The sequence below is a fragment of the Homo sapiens genome, chromosome 10 (assembly GCF_000001405.40).
Source record: "Homo sapiens chromosome 10, GRCh38.p14 Primary Assembly".
Lineage (NCBI taxonomy): Eukaryota > Metazoa > Chordata > Mammalia > Primates > Hominidae > Homo > Homo sapiens.
The window spans coordinates 117,120,787-117,138,858 of NC_000010.11; the positions used below are offsets into that span (position 1 = coordinate 117,120,787).

The following is an 18,072-nucleotide window of genomic DNA, read 5'->3' on the forward strand; positions in this document are numbered from 1 at the left end:
AGATATCCCAAGTACACTGATTTGATTTTTTTTTTTTTTTTGAGACAGAGTCTTGCTCTGTTGCCCAGGCTGAAGTACAGTGGCACGATCTCAGCTCACTGAAACCTCCACCTCCCAGGTTCAAGCGATTCTCCTGCCTCAGCCTCCCTAGTAGCTGGGATTACAGAAGTGTGCCAACATGCCTAGCTAATTTTTGTATTTTTAGGAGAGACGGGGTTTCCCCATGTTGGCTAAGCTGGTCTCAACTTCCTGACCTCAGGTGATCTGCCTGCCTCAGCCTCCCAAAGTGCTGAGATTACAGGCATGAATGACCATGCCCATTTACAAATTATATAAATGTATTAAATTATCACAGGTACCCCAAAACTATGTATCTATTATGCATCGATAAAAAAATTGTTTAAAAAAGATATTATGAAGATCAAAGGAGATTACATGTATAATCTCCTATAATCTATATTTTGTGTACATTTTATAGCTATAGATTACGTATACAATTCTAAATTTTGGGCCAGGCGTGGTGGCTTACGCCTGTAATCCCAGCAATTTGGGAGGCCGAGGTGGGAGGATTACCTGAGGTCAGGAGTTCAAGACCAGCCTGGCCAACATGGTGAAACTCTGCCTCTACTAAAAATATAAAAAACTAGCCGGGCATGGTGGCACACGCCTGTAATCCCAGCTACTTGGGAGGCTGAGGCAGGAGAATTGCTTGAGCCCCAGAGACGGAGGTTGCAGTGAGCTGAGATCATGCCACTATACTCCAGCCTGGCCGATAGAGTGAGACTCTGACTCAAAAAAAAAAATTATAAATTTTATACATGTTTTATATACAGTCATACCTCAGTATGAATGGGGGTGGTTTCCAGGAACACCCCCATCAGAGGATGTCCAAGTCCTTAATGTAAAATGGCATGGTATTTGCATATAGCTTACACACACCCTCCTGTATATTTTAAATCATCTTGGCTGGGTGCGGTGGCTCACGCCTGTAATCCCAGCACTTTGGGAGGCCAAGGCTGGCAGATCACGAGGTCAGGAGATCGAGACCATCCTGGCTAACACAGTGCAACCCCGTCTCTACTAAAAATACAAAAAATTAGCCAGGCGTGGTGGCAGGCGCCTGTAGTCCCAGCTACTTGGGAGGCTGAGGCAGGAGAATGGCGTGAACCCAGGGGGAGAAGCTTGCAATGAGCTGAGATCGCGCCACTGCACTCCAGCCTGGGCGACACAGCAAGACCCCATCTCAAAAAATAAAAATAAAATAAAAATAAATAAAGAAATAAATCATCTCTAGATTACCCATAATAACCTAATACAATGTAAATGCTATGTAAATAATTGTTGTACTGTATTTGTATTTACTTTATTTTTTATTTTCATATTGCTATTTATTGTTTGTTTGTTTTGAGACATGGTCTCACTCTGTTACCCAGGCTGGAGTGCAGTAGCATGAACACTGCTACTGCTCATGCAGCCTCAACCTATTGGGCTCAAGTGATCCTCCCAACTCAACCTCCCGTATAGCTGGAACCACGGGCACATGCCACCATACCCAGCTAACGTTTTTATTTTTGGTGGAGACAGAGTCTCATTTTGTGGCCCAGGCTGGTCTCAAACTCTGGGCTCAAGCGATCCTCTCACCCCCACCTCCCAAAGTGCTGGGATTACTTGTGTGAGCCACTGCACCTGGCCCTATTGTCTTTTAAAATATTTTCGATCCATAGTTAGTTGAAACAGGTATATGAAAAAGTGCTCAACATCAGTAATCATCAGGGAAATGCAAAGCAAAACCACAATGAGGCATCACCTCACATCTCTTAGGACAATACTTTTAAGGATATATTTTCATGACATGACTTATGAAATCCTAGGGACCCAAATAAGCTGTCCTAATAAACTAACTTTGTGATTCCAGTCAATCAGTCCAACAAATGTTAAATTGTCTACTATGTACCAATCTAGGAACAGCAATTCCAACAGTAAAAACAACTTCAAGAGAACAGTGAGAACTCTCAACCTCTTCATATACTATTAAACTTAAGAAAAATAATAATTAAAGTACTTTATTACATTTTTATACAAGGCAGTTTAGCCAATGCTTCTACCCTCTTAGGGAAGTTCTGAGAAAGGTGACTCTGCCTCTGACTCTTACAATTCAAGAGAAAAGTAAGAAGATAATCTGATTGGTGAGCACTACCATTCACTGAACCACTACATGGGTTGTTTTGTTTTGGAGATGGAGTTTCGCTCTTGTTGCCCAGGCTGGAGTGCAATGGTGTGATCTCGGCTCACTGCAACCTCTGCCTCCCGGGTGCAAGCAATTATCCTGCCTCAGCCTCCCAAGTAGTTGGGATTACAGGCATGTACCACCAAGCCCAGCTCATTTTATATTTGTAGTAGAGATGGGGTTTCTCCATGTTGGTCAGGCTGGTCTCAAACTCCTGACCTCAGGTGATCTGCCTGCCTCGGCCTCCCAATACGTGGGTTCTTTAAAAGGCAGGGGTTCTATCCCTTTCCACTCTTCATTTTCCCGTTCTCTACCTGTGACTAGACAGGTAAATTCAATTCCAGAAGAGACAACTTTGAGACAACTTTGAGAGCCATTTGATGCCACTTAAATTTGGAACCCTATGTGGCACCTAGTTTGCAGTTGATTTGAGACAGAAAGAAAAGGTAGTGAGTAATTAACACCCCTTAACTTCCAATAATGACATAAGTGACCCCTGACCTTGGGGGTCACCCAACATCTACCTACATTCCAAATTATCTCTACCTAATTTTGCATGCTTGATTACTGTTCCTAATGTACTGCCAGAGTACTCTTAAAAGGATTGCTGGCCAGGCACGGTGGCTCACGCCTGTAATCCCAACACCTTGGGAGGCCAAGGTGGGTGGATTGCTTGAGGCCAGGAGTTCGAGACCAGCTTGGTCAACACGGTGAAACCCCATCTTTACTAAAAATACAAAAAAAAATCAGCTGGGCGTAGTGGTGCATGTCTGTGATCCCAGCTACTAGGGAGGCTGAGACACGAGAACTGCTTGAACCCGAGAGGCAGTGAGTCGAGATCACATTGCTGCAGCTGCACTCTAGCCTGGGTGACAGAACAAGACCCTGTCTCACAAAAAAAAAAAAAAAAATTGCTGGCCAGGCACGGTGACTCATACCTGTAATCCGAACACTTTGGGAGGCCAAGGTGGGAGGATTGCTTGAGTCTAGAAGTTCAAGACCAGCCTGGGCAATACAGTGAGACACTGTCTCTACAAAAAATAAAAAAATAGCTGGGCATGGTGGTGCATGCCTGCAGTCCCAGCTACTCAGGAGGCTGAGGTGGGAGGGTCCCTTGAGCCTGGGAGGTTGAAGCTGCAGTGAGCCATGATCTGCACCACTGCACTCCAGCCTGGGTGACAGAGCAAGATTATGTCTCAAAAAAAAAAAAAAAAGCCAAACTTCAGATGTGTCACTGATGGTCCTGACTCTAACCTGGGGGTTAATGAGCCTCAGGCAATGAAAAAAGTGGACCCTGAATTCAGAGGAAAAGCTTGAGGGTAGAGCACATTTGACAGTGAAGCAAAACTCAGGAGTTAAGCATCATGTTCAGAGTGGTATACCAGTACTCAGAAAAATAAAGTTCAAATTATAATCCCTTCACTGACACATTGATTCTCCATGTCTCAGGCTCTACATCTTTAAAACAGGCTGCACTTTGCTTTTCTCATTGAATTACTCTGTAATCCCACCACTTTGGGAGGCCGAGGTGAGTCGATCACCTGAGGTCAGGAGTTCAAGATCAGCCTGGCCAACGTGGTGAAACCCCATCTCTACTAAAAATACAAGAATTAGCCGAGCGTGGTGGTGGGCACCTGTAATCCCAGCTACTCAGGAGGCTGAAGCAGGGAGAATTGCTTGAACCCCAGAGGCAGAGGTTGCAGTGAGCTGAGATCGCACCACTGCACTCCAGCCTGGGCGATGCAGTGAGACTCCGTCTCAAAAAATAAGATAAAATAAAAGTAATAATTCTATTTACAGATGAGGATTCTGACTGAAAGAAGTTATTTGCCTAAGTTCACATGGCCAATAAAAGTCAAAGGTGGAATTCAAAGCCCAAGTTTTCCTACTATTGCTATATTGTGGGGGTTAAGGTGATGACTGGGATACCTGCTGCGGGAACCTTGCCCCGAGTTACTTGGAAACAGCTTCCTACTCTGCCATGACCTGCCCAGGCTAAGAAAAATTGCTGAGCCAAACATGGACCCAGCTCCTTACTCAGAACCTAGGGAAGCAACCTGGCCTCAAAGCCACTTATATTTGTCTCAGAATTGCAAGAACCCCTCCGATGCTGGCAGACATCACTAATGATCAGCATACTTTTCCACGGAGGCCTCAGAATCCTCCACAACTTAGTATCCCCAGGCAGCTACCATCAAATAATTCAACTTAGCACTAGAGTTGAACTTATTTGCCACCCTCCCACTGGTCTCTGAACAGAGACGGTCATAGGCAGCTCAGGGAAAGAGGATCTTAAAACGAAAATAATGGTGATGTCTAGAAACAAATGTTGGCATTAATGTGTTAACTAACTTGTTTCTCATCCCATCACTGATGAGACACCTACCTACTTTCTATCCTCCCCACCTGCAGCTTAATCCCAGACCTCGACACCAATCTGTTTACTAACCTTTCTCACCTGTCGGCACCCATCTCATCTTGTAACTGGGCTTTCCTCCCATCGTTACCCTGCCCAAAACCTCCCCTTCACCTACAGAATAGAGATCTTTAGTTTGGTCTTCAGGCCCTTCCTTGACCAGGCCACTTTGCAAGCCTTATCTTACACCTCTACTCGATGTGAGACCCCCACCTCCTTCACATCATTTCCTTTTCTTTTTCTCTCCCCTCCGTTTCTCCCTGGGATGCCCTGGTTAAGAACCCAAATACCTTCTTGATCATCTCAGAATTCTACAGGCTGTCTGCCCATCCCTGCCAATAATGCTCCCACTCCACTGTGCTTACTTTCCCTCGCATCAGCTGACAACTAGGACAGAAAACTGAATTTGCCTTTAGCTCTTCCCGGGAAGGGACTAAGCCAGACCCTCAGTAAAATGGGCTGATGACCTGACTTTCTGGCCACCGATCTAACACATGGCAGTCTTATCTAACCCATGAGACGCAAGGGAAGGAAACCAAAACAAAAACCTGGCACTCCGTCCGTCCTGTGCACCCTTAGCAAGCCCCTCAGCCCCCATGCCGCTGCTTCCCTCAGTGCAAGAAGCCGGGGGTCAAGGGCGTGGGTCTGGAGGGCGGAGCGCTAGGTGCTGGCAGGGGCCTTTCAGGGGGCGCTGCCGCCGCTTGACGTCACTTCCCGCCGCTCCACTGCCTTGGGTCACAGCTGGCGTCTTAAGGGCCGGACCCAGGAAGGTATTTTCAGTCCCTATTTCTGCCCGTGCTGGCAAGAGAGCACGGGAGCCGGACTCAGCGTGGGTCGGGGCCCTGCCGCTAAAACCGTCAAAGCAGGCCTAACTTACCACTTTCCTGGTGAGGCCCCGGCCTCCGTCGACGGAAGCTGTGGGAGATGGGCTGCGTGAGGTGCCGGGTCCAGGCTCACAGGAGGAGAGCTCCAGGAGTCCCTAGAGCGCCAGCCCTGCCTCCTTTCTAGCCCTAGCACCTGGCCCTCGCCTCGCCTCCTAGCACGCATGCCCCTCGCCTCGCCTCCTAGCACGCATGCCCCTCGCCTCGCCTCCTAGCACGCATGCCCCTCGCCTCGCCTCCTAGCACGCATGCCCCTCGCCTCGCCTCCTAGCACGCATGCCCCTCGCCTCGCCTCCTAGCACGCATGCCCCTCGCCTCGCCTCCTAGCACGCATGCCCCTCGCCTCGCCTCCTAGCACGCATGCCCCTCGCCTCGCCTCCTAGCACGCATGCCCCTCGCCTCGCCTCCTAGCACGCATGCCCCTCGCCTCGCCTCCTAGCACGCATGCCCCTCGCCTCGCCTCCTAGCACGCATGCCCCATTGTGCATGCCAAATGGCTCACATGGCGCAGGCTCCACGCCTTTCCCGCCCTTGGGCCCTCCTGCCTTCCGGGCTGAGGCCTCTGCCCCAATTCACAGGTATCTCCCCAGCTTTGGAGCCAACTCGGCCTCCAGTACCCCCACTAAACCCTTATTGGCTTCAGGCTCTCTGATCAAATTCCCTCTCTGATACAAGGAAAATGGTTTCAAAATTCCACTCGGACCCGATCTTGATATCAATGCTACCACCGGGCACCTCTAGTCAGACAGTAAGATCTGTTGGTTTTATTTAAGCAAAATGCCTTGAAACCATTTCTCCTCTCCATTTCTGCTGCCACTTCACCAAGCAACCCTCACCCCCATCCCCTACCCCCACCATCATCGCATCACCATCATCCTCTCTTGCTCTCCTGTTCCTATGGAAGTGTACTCACTAACTGGCATCTGCCTCAGAATCCGTGCACTCCTGTTCCCATGCCACCTCTTCTGGGATTCTCCCCCAGATTGCCAGAGAGACCTTGTAAAATGAGAACTACAATGATTCCATGATCTCCTTGGGAGAACTTTTCAGTGGCTCCTCATCGCCCTGATGGCAAAATCCAAGTGTTATCAACGTGGTATTCCAGGTGCTGCCTGCATTCCTGCCTCTTCTCCCACTACTTGCACTCAGCCATCCTCACTGCTTCCTCTCCATTCCCAGCTCTTAGCATTCTCCTTCTCATACCTTTCCATTGAAATTGGTTGACTCAAGAACTGAGGAAATTAGCATGTAGGAGGTTTACTAAGGAGTGCTTCAAGCTCAACAATGTAGAAGGGAAAGGAAGGAAGCAGTACTGGACAGAAGTCAAACTGCATAGGGATCCCAACAGAGGCCTCAGCCATTCCTTCTAAGAGTTTAGAAGATGGGATGAGTCTTCAAATATATCCAAAGTTGGGGTGCAAGAACCAGGCTTATCCCCAGGTCTACCAGTCATTGGAAACCACCCTGGAAAGTCATTGGAAACCACTTGAGTACAGTGGCTCTCTTCAGATGAGGCAGTCTCCAATGAACAGACAGCTGAGAGCTGTCTGCCAAGTCATTAAAATAATAATTTAGCATTTTGGTAGAGATGCTGTGCTTACTAATGGCTGTGATACCAAGTCTAAAGGCAGGGGGAGTAAATTCCATTATGCCTGACCCAATCACGTTCCCCTTCCTCAGGAAAGGACTTTAGGCCAACACCGTCATTTTACAGATGGGGAAACTGAGGCCCAGAGAGACTCTCAGATAGTCAGCTATCTCAATCACAGTCTTATAATAAATAGCTAATATTTGAGCATATAACTTATCCTAGGCTTGTACTAGATGCTTTAGATGCTTTATCCAACTAAACAACCATGACAATCCTATGAGGTAGGTGCCATTATTACTTTCATTTGATATACATGGAAATAGGTTTGGAGCAGCCAGATGACTAATTTGTCCAAGATTACACAGCTATTAAGTGGTGTATCTGGGATTTGAACCCAAGTCATTCTGACTCCAGAACCATAACTAGAAACCATTAAGATGAATTACTTTTTCTCTGTGCATTAAACCAGCATACTACACATTGTATGATACCAGGGAATGCTATGTATGTGTTTATATGTGTGTATATGTGTATGTGTTATTGCTATACATGTTATGTTGTTAACACACATAACAGACTTTTTTATATGAAGAAAACTTTTACATGAAAAATTTTATATATATTTTACACATATATATGATGTGATTTATTTTTAAGAATGGGTACAACACTACCACATAAAGCACAATATTTATTTTCTGTTTCAGGGTAAGAAGATAGGCAAATGTGTTTCTAGAAAGAAAATTATTTTCATATTAGCTAGAAATCAGAGAATACCCAAGTAATTTTCAGCTTCCATGTCCATTGCATGCCAGGTTCTCTGGACCTGGTGGCCTTGCTCCTTCCAGAACTCATGTCTCTTCAAACAGAAGCTTTCAGTTCCAACCAAGAAGGGTGTGCATCTGAATGCTTTTCAGCAAACCTGAAGGGCTCTCCTCCTCCTTTCCCCAAACTACCAGGTCTGTAAGGGAGCAGCCTCTCCAGGAAGGTGGTCCCCATTGAGTTTATAAAAGACCTTCCCTGAGACCTGAGAAACCACCAAAGTAGATCTCTCTTTTCTCTCCTGCTCCATTAAAATGAAACCTCCATGAAAATGAAAAAGACTGAAATGTAAAGATTTCCCGACGTAGAAATGGTGTTAAATTACAATAGCATAATGTGGTCCAAGAAATTCTAAACTGTGTCAGAAACTGTGGATTAATTTGTTTAACAAACATTCATTGTATTCCTACCAAATGCCAGGCCCTGGGCCAGATGCAGGAGGCTGCAGTGTTTTGGGAGTTTGCCATTTAATACAGTACTTCTCAAATATTAGTCTGGATAAGAATCACTTTGGAAAAGTGTTTAAAATGCACGTTCCTAAGCCCCAACCTAGTTTCTGATTCATCAGATGGGACTAGGGCTTAGGAACCTGGAATTTTAGCCAGTCCCCAGATGATTCTGAAGCAGCTGGTCCTCAGTTGTATCTTGAAAAACATTGACCTAGTGTGTTTTTAAGTTTTGATCAGCCATTTAATCAAGCCACTTAAACTCAGGATTTCAGGGGGTTAGAAGAGATATATGATTTCTAAAATCCTTCAAGAAATCTTAAAAAGACTTCTTAAAAAAGGCTTTCTATGCAAGAACAGCACACCAATATGACACAATTTCTTTTCAAACAGGAGAAAGACACTGTGTGTCATCATATGGCTTATGTGGCTGAAGGGAAGAAGTTAAAAGGGTATCCTTGGAGCCATTCAAGAAGGGGTGTGTGTGTGTGTGTGTGTGTGTGTGTGTAAATCATCAACTTGTATAGTTAAGCTTTGTGTACTTTACCCTATGAGTGTTTACCTCATGGATATTATAATTCAATTTATAAATAATCATTTTTAAGGATGTGTAAGACCAAAGAGTGTAAGGGGTTTAAAGATGTCATTCTAGAGAGACGTAGAGGGAAAGAGTTGGGACAGTGGCAGGAAAAAAAAAGGAAGGAGGGAGAAATTCAAACTTCTTGATGAGGGCACCAAGTAAATCCTCAGCAGCTGGTGTAATAGATGGCTAGATATGGACATTAGCAGATGTGGGTGCAAATAGGCTAAAGAATTCAGGTACCATGATCCAGACACTGTGGGCACAAAAAGAAGGAAAGGAGGAAGGAGGGGAGAAAGGGAAGAAGGAAAGAGGGGTCAAAGGGGGACGAAAGAAAAAAACTGAAAGAAAGAGGCCTCTGGCCCTAGGGGGAGCTTACAATCTTGGGTTCTGAGCAGCTATGTGGCTTTGAGCAAGTTATTTGCTTCAGTCCTGTGTGAGTCTTTAAAACGGAGCTGGACCTCCCAAAGCCACCATGAGGAATAGTAGAATGGTGTATGTAAAATGCTATTTGTAAACTATAAAGGGTTGCCAAATGCTACTTATGAATACATTCTGGCTGAAGGTTAGACCAACTGCAAGTGTGGATAGGAGCATGTGTCCCGTTTAGCTCTCCAAGTGACTTCCCACATCTTTCTTGAACCTGACCCCCAAACTCACAGGGCTTTGCTAAGAGGTTTTCTCCCTTTTTCTTTTCTGCTCTGAAACAATTTGGCGGTTGCTTTGTGCAGGCCTGAGCATCAGATTCCTTTCAGCTCCCCCCTCCTGCAGCTGTTTCTCCTTCCACCTTTCCCCAGGCAGGCCCAGCTATTGGCATAGAGGGTACCTGCCTCCTCCTCCAAGGCCTGTGAGTCTCCAGTTGGAAGCCAGAAGCCTCCAGGGACCAAGGCAGCTTACTGGAGGCCCTTGGGGAAGGAGGGAAAAGAAGATAGTCACTAAAATTAAATGAATTTTCTATAAATGTTTTTAAATTAAAATTGCAATTCTTTTTCTATGCAGAAGAGGCTCTTTAAGAACAATTGCACTCCCTGAGTGGCAGGCAAAGAGCTCAGCAGCTCTTCCCAAAGCCAGGGAGGGAAGGGAGGTGAGAGCAGAAGTTATGAGGTGACTTGTCCTTCCCTCTTTCAGGGGTAAGAAAGCAAAAAGGAGAAAGAGCAGGAAGCTGGAAGGAGGGATCTGCTTGGTGACTTCCCAGGCTGAGGCCCCTGGGAGAGGAGGCTGAATTTGTTGGGAATCCCAAGCTAGGATTTTGTGTTTTCTTTTGTTCCAAAAAGTTATGCCACCTTCTCCCTTCCTTCTCACCCCTGGAGGGTCCCAGCCACCAGCCTTGAAGCTGCAGCGAGAGCCACCCACTGCCTTGGCCTTTGGGACCCCTTGAGCAGGAGAAAAAAACCAGAAAACCAAAAGAGAGAGAGAGACCTGGAAGGAAGAAGTAATGGAGGAGGGAGACAGGGGGAACGAGAGGGGAGCCCACACCACAGAGAGAGAACTCCTTAAAGGAAGCGCAGGCGTTTACGGGACAGGAGCGCGGAAGAAAAGAGTAGAAAAGGAAAAGCAGTTTCAAGCAAGAGAAAGTAAGGAGAGGCGGACAGGGAGGGGAAGAGCCAAGAGAAGCCAAGCTGAGGGATCTGCAGCAACTTTGAGAAATAAAAGTGAACTGTCTGTGGGCGGCTGCTGTGATCTCAGCAAAAAGCGGAGCTCAAGGCTCAGGGACTCCGCCGCCCACACTGTGCCCCGCCTTATTTTGGATGCCTCCAACTTCAGCTTCAGGCACAGTACACGAGTAGGGGCAGTAAGGCCTGGCTAGGGCCGGTGCCGCACGGGAGCTGCGGGTCCCTGCAACACCCAGGTGTGCAGGCGCTACAAGAAGGAGCCGGGGCCGCTGCCCCCGCAGCGCGGACTTCGCCCCGTGCTGCACACGCTTTAGAAGAGCGTGTCCGGAAGTGTCCTCCCCGGCCCTCCTCGCTTCCCAAGATTTGTTTGCAACGTCTACACCCGTCACCACCGCATAAGCACCAGGGTGAGGAGGTCTCTTTGCAGGAATTAATATCGATTTCAGTCTCCTGCTCCTTCAAAGTTTCTCTTTGACGATGGCGAGACTTATATTCTAAGTCAGAAGAAAATAAAACCTTGCCTATTCTGGGCCCATGATTGCACAAAATCCAAAATGCTGCCGGCATGAAGATGCAGCTGGAAGACTCTAGAAACCTAGCATTAGGAGGCAGAGACTTTATAGTGCCCAGAGATGAGTTCCTAAATAAACTAAGAATTACGCAGTGGGAAATTAAGGAGGAGGGTCTGAGGGGCCGACCTCAGAGGGACAGATAGAGAAATCGAGAGCGAAACACTCAAGGAAGTGGAACAAATCGTCGTAGCCAGGCGTCTCTGCCTCTCCGGAAACCCGAAATCCGCCCAAACCTCATCCCAGGCGCTCACGGTACCAGTCGCAGGGCCCCGCACTATAGGGGCTGCCACCCTCTGCCCCCGGAGTCCCCACGCCGAGACTCATCATTTGCTGGCTCTTTCTTCCTTTTCTTCTTTTGTTTTTTTATCCTTCAAATATAAGACAAAAATACACCTCATTTATCATCATAGATATATATATTTCACTCTCACCACATAAATACAAAACATCCAAATATCCAAAACATTCAGAACAAAGTTAGTAGCCTGGATTCAGTGACACCTACCCGCGTTTGAATCGTTCATTATTTTCTTCACTATTTGCCTAGAAAAAAAAAAAAGATGAAAAAGAGGGGGAGAGTTTCCGACGTAAATAATTTACAATAAAATTACTATTTTAAAAAAGTGTTTTTCGCTTGCTTCAGATGGATGAATACATTCTAGACACTGCGGCACCTCGCAGTCTGGGTCTGTGATTTTGGTTAAAATGTGGGTGGCCGTGGCTGTAGGGACGATCGCCGCTGCGCAGGGTAAGGAAAGAGGGTGTCGCGGTTCGTGTTCTGATTTGGGACCACTGAAACCCTAAGACTGGGGAGGCGAGGGGAGTGTCTTTCCTATCAATCACACAAGACGCTATCTGGACTCCGAGACTACTGCTAGAGGAGGCCCGACCACCCAGCGGCGTCCCTGCCTCCCCTTCCGCAAAGAACTGCTCAGAAATCCAGACGTTTCCTGCGTGCAGGAAGGGTTTTGTGAATCCGGGTGTTTGGGAGAGGAGGCAATGAGTGCTGACTCGTTTTCCAAACCGAGCAATTGTGCCCGAAGCTACGCGCCTGGGAGGCCGTAGGGTGAAGCGCCGGCTGCGCAGGCTACCGCCGGCAGCCGCTTTGCTCTTTCCTGGAGGAGTGGGAAGCTGTCGGCCACCGCCCCGAACAGGCTCGGAGAAAAGATTCTGAATTTCCTTTGATTAGCGGCGTTACCTTTTCCTTTGCTTTTCCCCCATTAAATTCCTGTTTAAAGTTACAACACCCAGAACCTTAATTTTGCATTGCCCTGTGGGGCATTCTGTATCCTGAATTTTCTTACACCTTCCAAATTTCATCATTGGAAGTATTTAAAAACTGGTTCCACTTCATCTGGTTTTACGTAGCAATTGCTTTTATTGCTGATTAGATCAAATTTATCAGTGTCGTTGCCTACTACGACGTTTGTTACTGTTTCCTGGGGTCGGGGGTGGTTGTGATTGGAGTTGCCCTAAAGGGGAGAAAAACCGCAGGATTTGCCCGCCAGGAAGCTGTGTTGTGTACCGACTATCCCGAGAGGTCCGCAAAGCGGGGCCCAGGGGCTCCCACAAGCCCTGGTTTCCCTGGCAAGAGGAAGGAACGTCCTCCTTTTTTGGTCTAAAGAAACCTGGAAGCCCCTGGGGTCTGCGCGCAGTTTTCCTCTTTCAAATATTCCTAGGAATAGTCGGCAGCGGCAGCAGCCGCAGCAGCCGCGGATCTAGAGCAAACGTCCTGTGCTTTGGAGTTAGAACCAGTCTTTTCCCTCCTGGGCTGGGCACGGGGTCAGGGCATCAGGTTGACTAACTCGGGCATTTTTCCCAATTCTTTGGATCGCTCCTGGATTCAGAAGGAAGTTGGGGGTTGGGGAGGAATCTCAGAGGAAAGGTAGTAGAAAAAAAAAATAGCCCGAATGAGATGAAATTGGTAGCAGAGTCTAGTGGGAAAGGAGAGCTGTCAGAGGCCTGGTGGGAGCCAGGAGCCCAGCGCAGGAGCTCTGGGCACCTAATGCGCGTGAGTCCATAAATATCACCACAATAGATACTATAAATATAAATACAGGGAAACACTTAAAATCAGTCCAGCGCTTTTTTCTCGGCCCCTTCTTTATTGTTGGTCCGGGAGTAAGGCTCGAAGGCCGAGGAGCTCAGATATCGGGCGGAGAGTTCTTGCAAATTCCCAGCTAGCGAACCAGCCATTGTTAACGGGGCGGAGGACAGGCGGCTGGCGACGGAGCCGAGCAGCGAGGGCACCGGCAGGCTGAAGAGGCTGTGGCCCGCGGCCGGGGCGCCTGCGTGCAATCCCCCCGGCCCGGCGGGCCCGGGACCTGGAGCACCGCCCACAGCCGGCGGGTGCGGGGATGCAGCGCCCGCTGGGCCCGGGGCGGCGGCGGCGGCTGCGGCGGCCGAGCCTGCAGCGGCGCCCGCGCCCAGGGCCGGCAAGCTGGGCCCGCGCAGCGCTGAGCCGAGAGCGCCCGTGGCGCAAGGCGGCAGCAGCGCAGGCAGGCCGGGCGGCGACAACAGGCGGCCCTGCTCCAGCAGCCGTAGCACGCTGCACGTGGCCGCGGTCTCCGACACCACCGAGCGTAGCTCCGAGTCCTTGCCCTGGTCCTTCTTCTGCTTGGTGCGCCGGTTCTGGAACCAGACCTTCACCTGCGCGCCGGGGTGCGGGGAGAGTTGGAGAGAGGGGCAGGGAAGACCAGCGTCAAAGGAAGCGAGCTCCCGGGGCGCGCGGCTCCGGGGCTCTCCCCAAGTCCCAGCCCTATCCGCAGCCCCACCCAGCAGCCGGAGGGGTCCGGGCCGGGGCGCTGCTGGGGGAGCTGGCGCCGCCACGAGGGGGACACAGCTGCTCCACCGGGCTGCGCTTCCGGGTCAGGGAAGCAGGCCCAGGCAGGCGCCGCTTACACAGAACAAAGTAATAAAATGCCCACGGCAGGAACTCGAAGGAAGACCGGAAAGGGTTTCACTGGCTTCCGCGCTACCCCGCAGCGGTGTTTGGGGCTCACAGATGTGTGAATCAGTGCAGTCCCAAAGCCGGAATTTCCGGTGGAGGGTGTGAGGCCCTAGGGTGCGGGTGCGGTGAAGGAAGAGGGAAGAAGGAAGAGGGAAGTGGGAAGAGAGGCGGGGAGGGAGTATTGCCCAGCCTTTCTGGACCCAGGCCCCTGGCCCAATGCGCTCGGATTTAGTCCTAGAAGCACTACTCCTGGTGAAGGCTACAAAGGACCATTTCCTGCTTAAGACGTGACCATTAGCTAGCAGCAAGCAGGGAAAGTGGCTGCAGGAGAATAATATGTGCGGGAGACTTTATGTAGACCGAGATTTCTGCACCTCTTCTCACCAGATAGCTGCATTGAAGGGTCTGGTGATACTCTTAGTTTATCTCTCCACTGGTCTGAGTCATGAACTTGGAATCATGGGAGAAAGTCAGGAGGCTGAGGTGGATTGAATATTCCCCACTAACCTCCCCTCTCATTCTTCTGCCCCTCTGCAGGCCTAGCAGTGGCCCAGAAGAGTTTTGCAGCAATAGGCAAAGACTATCCTATCTAGATTTTATAAACTAAGAGGAGTAGTAGCAGAGAGAATAGAAAAAGCTACCATACCAACTCAAACTCAAAAAGAACACCCCTATCTGTTCTGTCAGTCCTCAGCTTTCAGCCCAGATCCCGGACCTAAAATGCTCTCCACCTGCTTCAGGGTTGGGCATGGGGAAAAGGATCAGTCTTCAGAAAGAAGGCTGCCGTAGCTAGGCCAAGCTGGTGACATGCCACTTGGCAAGTTCTTGGGTCCTCTCCTGGGCCCAGAGCCCACATGGCCAGCTCCAAGGGGCATCATATGGATTTAATGTAAAGGGAAAGATCTAAAGCACAATCAGCAGTACTGGCTTCTGGGTCCTAGATCTCCTTCCCATCACACACCTCACACATCACTGGCCCAGAAGACAGGGTCTCCTAGGTGCTCAGGGCTGGGGCCAGCTCAGAATGGGGAAAGCCTTCCTTTAAGGGTCAGGGCAGCCTGATCTGCACAGGCAGATCTCCAGGAGGGCGTACACCTAATTCCTGGGAATCACCCATGGTGCTGGGGCAGGGGGTGTTAGATCTAGCCTCACTCCTGTAGAATGGGCCTGGACGCTGAGTACAGCTGGGTGGGCCCACAAGGGGTGGGGCCTAGAAATCTAGCCAAAATGGGGTACCCCAAACAAGGGCAAAAGTCAGTTCTTTGTAGAGCAGAAGCTCGAAGGAAATGCTCAAAACCGGGGGACAATAAAAATTCCAAAAGGACAGGATTTGGGGCCTTCTGGGCCTAGGCCAAGGTGGATAAAACATGGGCCCTGGAGGATTTGGGGATGGCAGGAATGGTGGGGGGAAAGGATGTATTATCTAGGGGAAGGAATCCTTAGGCCTGTCTTACCCATCCTTCCCATCTCCTCCACCTCCCAAGGGTAGTTCTGTCCAGAGCAGGTTAGGAGGTGAAGAGCAGGCTAGGTAGGGGTGGTGGGGAGGAAGGCTGGTGCAGAACTGTGTGCGGCCTGGTCGCCGGGTACCTGGGTCTCGGAGAGGTTAAGCTGCCGGGCGAGCTCGGTCCTCTCGCGGCCCACCACGTACTGGCAGCGCTGGAACTCCATCTCCAGCCGATAGAGCTGCTCCGCGGTGAAGGACGTGCGCGTCCTCTTAGGCCGGTCCAAGTCCAGGCCCTTGGGCAGGATGATCTCTCGGATGGACCCCTTGGCATCTGGGGAAGGGGAGATGTCAGCCGCCAGAACCCTCCCGTCCCCCTCCACCTCCTTGGCCCGAGCTGGATTTGGGGACACAGTCCCCAGAAGCGTGCAGTTTTGGGGATGGGGGGCGGGGTGCGGAGCGCGACCACAACCAGGTAGCAAAGACACTGTGTGGAGGGCAAGGGGCCTAACTCCATACCGCTGACCGAAGGAGGGACCACACTTTGTCTTTTTGTAGAGTCCTCCAGACAGGGGAGAGAAAAAAATCCAATCAATTCCACATAGGCGGACGTTTCTTCCGGCCTGGGGGGGCCTCGGCTGAGCCTTCCGGGTCCCCTGTAGCCTGAGGGTACCCTTGTCGCCCCGCCCGGGTCCTGCGGGCCCCAGCTCTGGGCTTGCCGACCAGACCGTGATCCAGACGTCCCCACCCCCACCCTCGAGTCTCCTTCCCTCCGGAGTCCGCGCGGCGGAAGGAGGAGGGACTGAGTCGGGGCCGGCCGGGCCCGGAGATCTGCTGCTGGCTGGGGCGGCGCCGGGCCGGGGCCCGGCCTCGCAGCCTCCGCCGCCGGGGCTAAGTGCACGCCGCGCCATCCGAGAGCGGCAGAGCAGAGCACCAAAGCGGCAACCGCGGCTCCGTAACCAAGCCCAGCTGCCTCTCCCGGCGGCAGCGGTCGGGCACCGATCGCGGCCGTGGGGTCCTCGGCCCAGTGCACTAACTGGCAGGGCCGTAGCCCGCGATCGGCAGCTGTTCTCCGGGGCTCGCGTTCCCCCTTGGGTGCGCTCAGCCCTCCAGAGCGCGGGAGTCCCCTGGCCGGCTCCCGGCAGGTCGTCCGGCCCTTGGAGCGCGCACACCTCCTCCCGGAGTTTTCTGCTCCTTTCCCGGGTCGGAGGCCGCAGCCCGATGCCCGGCCGCACCCGCGCAGCCCCTCATCTCCCCCCGCAGCCCGGTCAGCGGGGCCCCTCCGGGCGTGGAGGGCCGAGGCCCCTGGAGAGCGCACCGGAGAGTCCCAGGCGCTTGTCCCCAGCCGGACTCGGGGCGGGGAGGGCCAACAACTTTCTCCCAAGTCCCAGCCGGCACTCCTTCCCACCGGCCTGTGTCGGCGGCAGCGCGCAGCTCCGGCCCCGGAGTCGACCCCAAAGAACGCGCCTGGCAGCCCTGCCCATCCCTACCTCGGACCAGGATCCGGCGGCAGTAATCCGGGTCCGCTGCGGAATTGGATTTACTTTTGTTACAATCCTCAGCAGCGCCCGACGCTGAGAAGGCGCCCTGCGGCTCCTTGAGGAAGGCGGCTGGGAGGTTCCCCTCCGCGCCCTTGCTCTCCCGACTCTCCTTGTGCGCGTTCTTCGAGACCCGGGCAGCCTCGGCGTCCGAGTGGCATCGAACGTCCATTTTGTCTGGTTTCCCGAACATAGGCAAGAACAACAACAAAAACAGAAAGGAAAAAAAAAGCAAAAAAAAAAAAAAGGGGGGGGGGCGGAGAAGGAAAAAAAAAAGAGGAAAAAGGGGACAAAACCCCCGACAACGCGGCCCGTACGCCCGGCCCGGCGACAGGCAAGGGGCAAGAATGAATGTCCCCGCGGGGAGGCTTCGGCGGCCGCGCGCGGGTCAGCGGCGACGGGAGAGTGGCGCGCTCGCCGAGAGGCGGCCAGTCTGGTCCAGGATCCTGGTGGAGCTGCGGCGAGGCCGCCTCGTCAGCACCCGCGTCCTCTGAGCACGTCCAGTGTCCCCAGCCTGGCGATCAGGTAGCGAACAGCGCAACTCCGAAATGCTGCGGCTCCCGCCTGTTTCTGAGACGGCGAGTTGTAGTTGTCCGACACCCGGGGGGACGCACACTCGCTGTTGCAATTGATTACGGGTAATTTCGCAGCCCCCACGTTTCGGTTACCTCATGAATACACTAAATTGTTTGGATAATATATCAGATCGTAATGGATGGTTTCTGTCCTTGTCCCCAATCAAGTAGGGGTTTAGCCAGTGAATAAACGGAAATGATTGGTCTTGCTTTCAGGAAACACACAATCAAAGACCCACACTTCCAGAAAAACTTTTGACAAGATTCATCCTGAATTGTTAGTACCATTAGCAGGCATTATTAACTTTCCTTTTGCCTTTGACCCTCCTGCTCACATACTGGCTAGAGGGGTTTTCTCCACACTCGCCAGATAGAGCTGAATGAGGGTTGGGCGGCGGGGGGGTGTGGGGGGAGAAAAAA

The 18,072-nt window shown here is 51.1% G+C and overlaps 2 protein-coding genes across 3 annotated transcripts in view, besides 3 other annotated features; both read right to left on the bottom strand.

Annotated features, from left to right (window-relative positions):
* SHTN1 (shootin 1) overlaps positions 1 to 5,800 on the bottom strand; it is a 245,110-nt gene extending 239,310 nt beyond the window's left edge. Inside the window, exon 1 of the mRNA NM_001258300.1 lies at positions 5,521 to 5,800. The gene's annotated coding sequence lies outside the window, so the exon portion shown is untranslated. The remainder of the gene's footprint in view (positions 1 to 5,520) is intronic.
* Positions 5,367 to 5,867: an enhancer, noted in NCBI's record as "H3K27ac-H3K4me1 hESC enhancer chr10:118885664-118886164 (GRCh37/hg19 assembly coordinates)". NCBI's record gives its function as "activates a minimal SCP1, AML or CMV promoter by ChIP-STARR-seq in primed H9 embryonic stem cells {active_cell/tissue: H9 hESC(primed)}" and the evidence as "EXISTENCE:reporter gene assay evidence [ECO:0000049][PMID:30033119]".
* VAX1 (ventral anterior homeobox 1) lies at positions 7,734 to 17,484 on the bottom strand. Of its 2 annotated transcripts, NM_199131.3 has the most exons (4): positions 17,030 to 17,484; positions 15,686 to 15,873; positions 11,654 to 11,691; positions 7,734 to 11,516 (listed from the first exon to the last, which is right to left on the bottom strand). In NM_199131.3, the coding sequence occupies exons 1-4, from the start codon at positions 17,268 to 17,270 to the stop codon at positions 11,423 to 11,425; spliced, it is 561 nt and encodes a 186-aa protein (NP_954582.1). In that variant the 5' UTR covers positions 17,271 to 17,484; the 3' UTR covers positions 7,734 to 11,422. The 2 variants fall into 2 exon arrangements, with proteins under 2 accessions (NP_954582.1, NP_001106175.1); NM_001112704.2 differs by lacking the exons at positions 7,734 to 11,516; positions 11,654 to 11,691 and adding an exon at positions 12,504 to 13,797.
* Positions 10,330 to 10,857: an enhancer, noted in NCBI's record as "H3K4me1 hESC enhancer chr10:118890627-118891154 (GRCh37/hg19 assembly coordinates)". NCBI's record gives its function as "activates a minimal SCP1, AML or CMV promoter by ChIP-STARR-seq in naive H9 embryonic stem cells {active_cell/tissue: H9 hESC(naive)}" and the evidence as "EXISTENCE:reporter gene assay evidence [ECO:0000049][PMID:30033119]".
* Positions 10,858 to 11,384: an enhancer, noted in NCBI's record as "H3K4me1 hESC enhancer chr10:118891155-118891681 (GRCh37/hg19 assembly coordinates)". NCBI's record gives its function as "activates a minimal SCP1, AML or CMV promoter by ChIP-STARR-seq in naive H9 embryonic stem cells {active_cell/tissue: H9 hESC(naive)}" and the evidence as "EXISTENCE:reporter gene assay evidence [ECO:0000049][PMID:30033119]".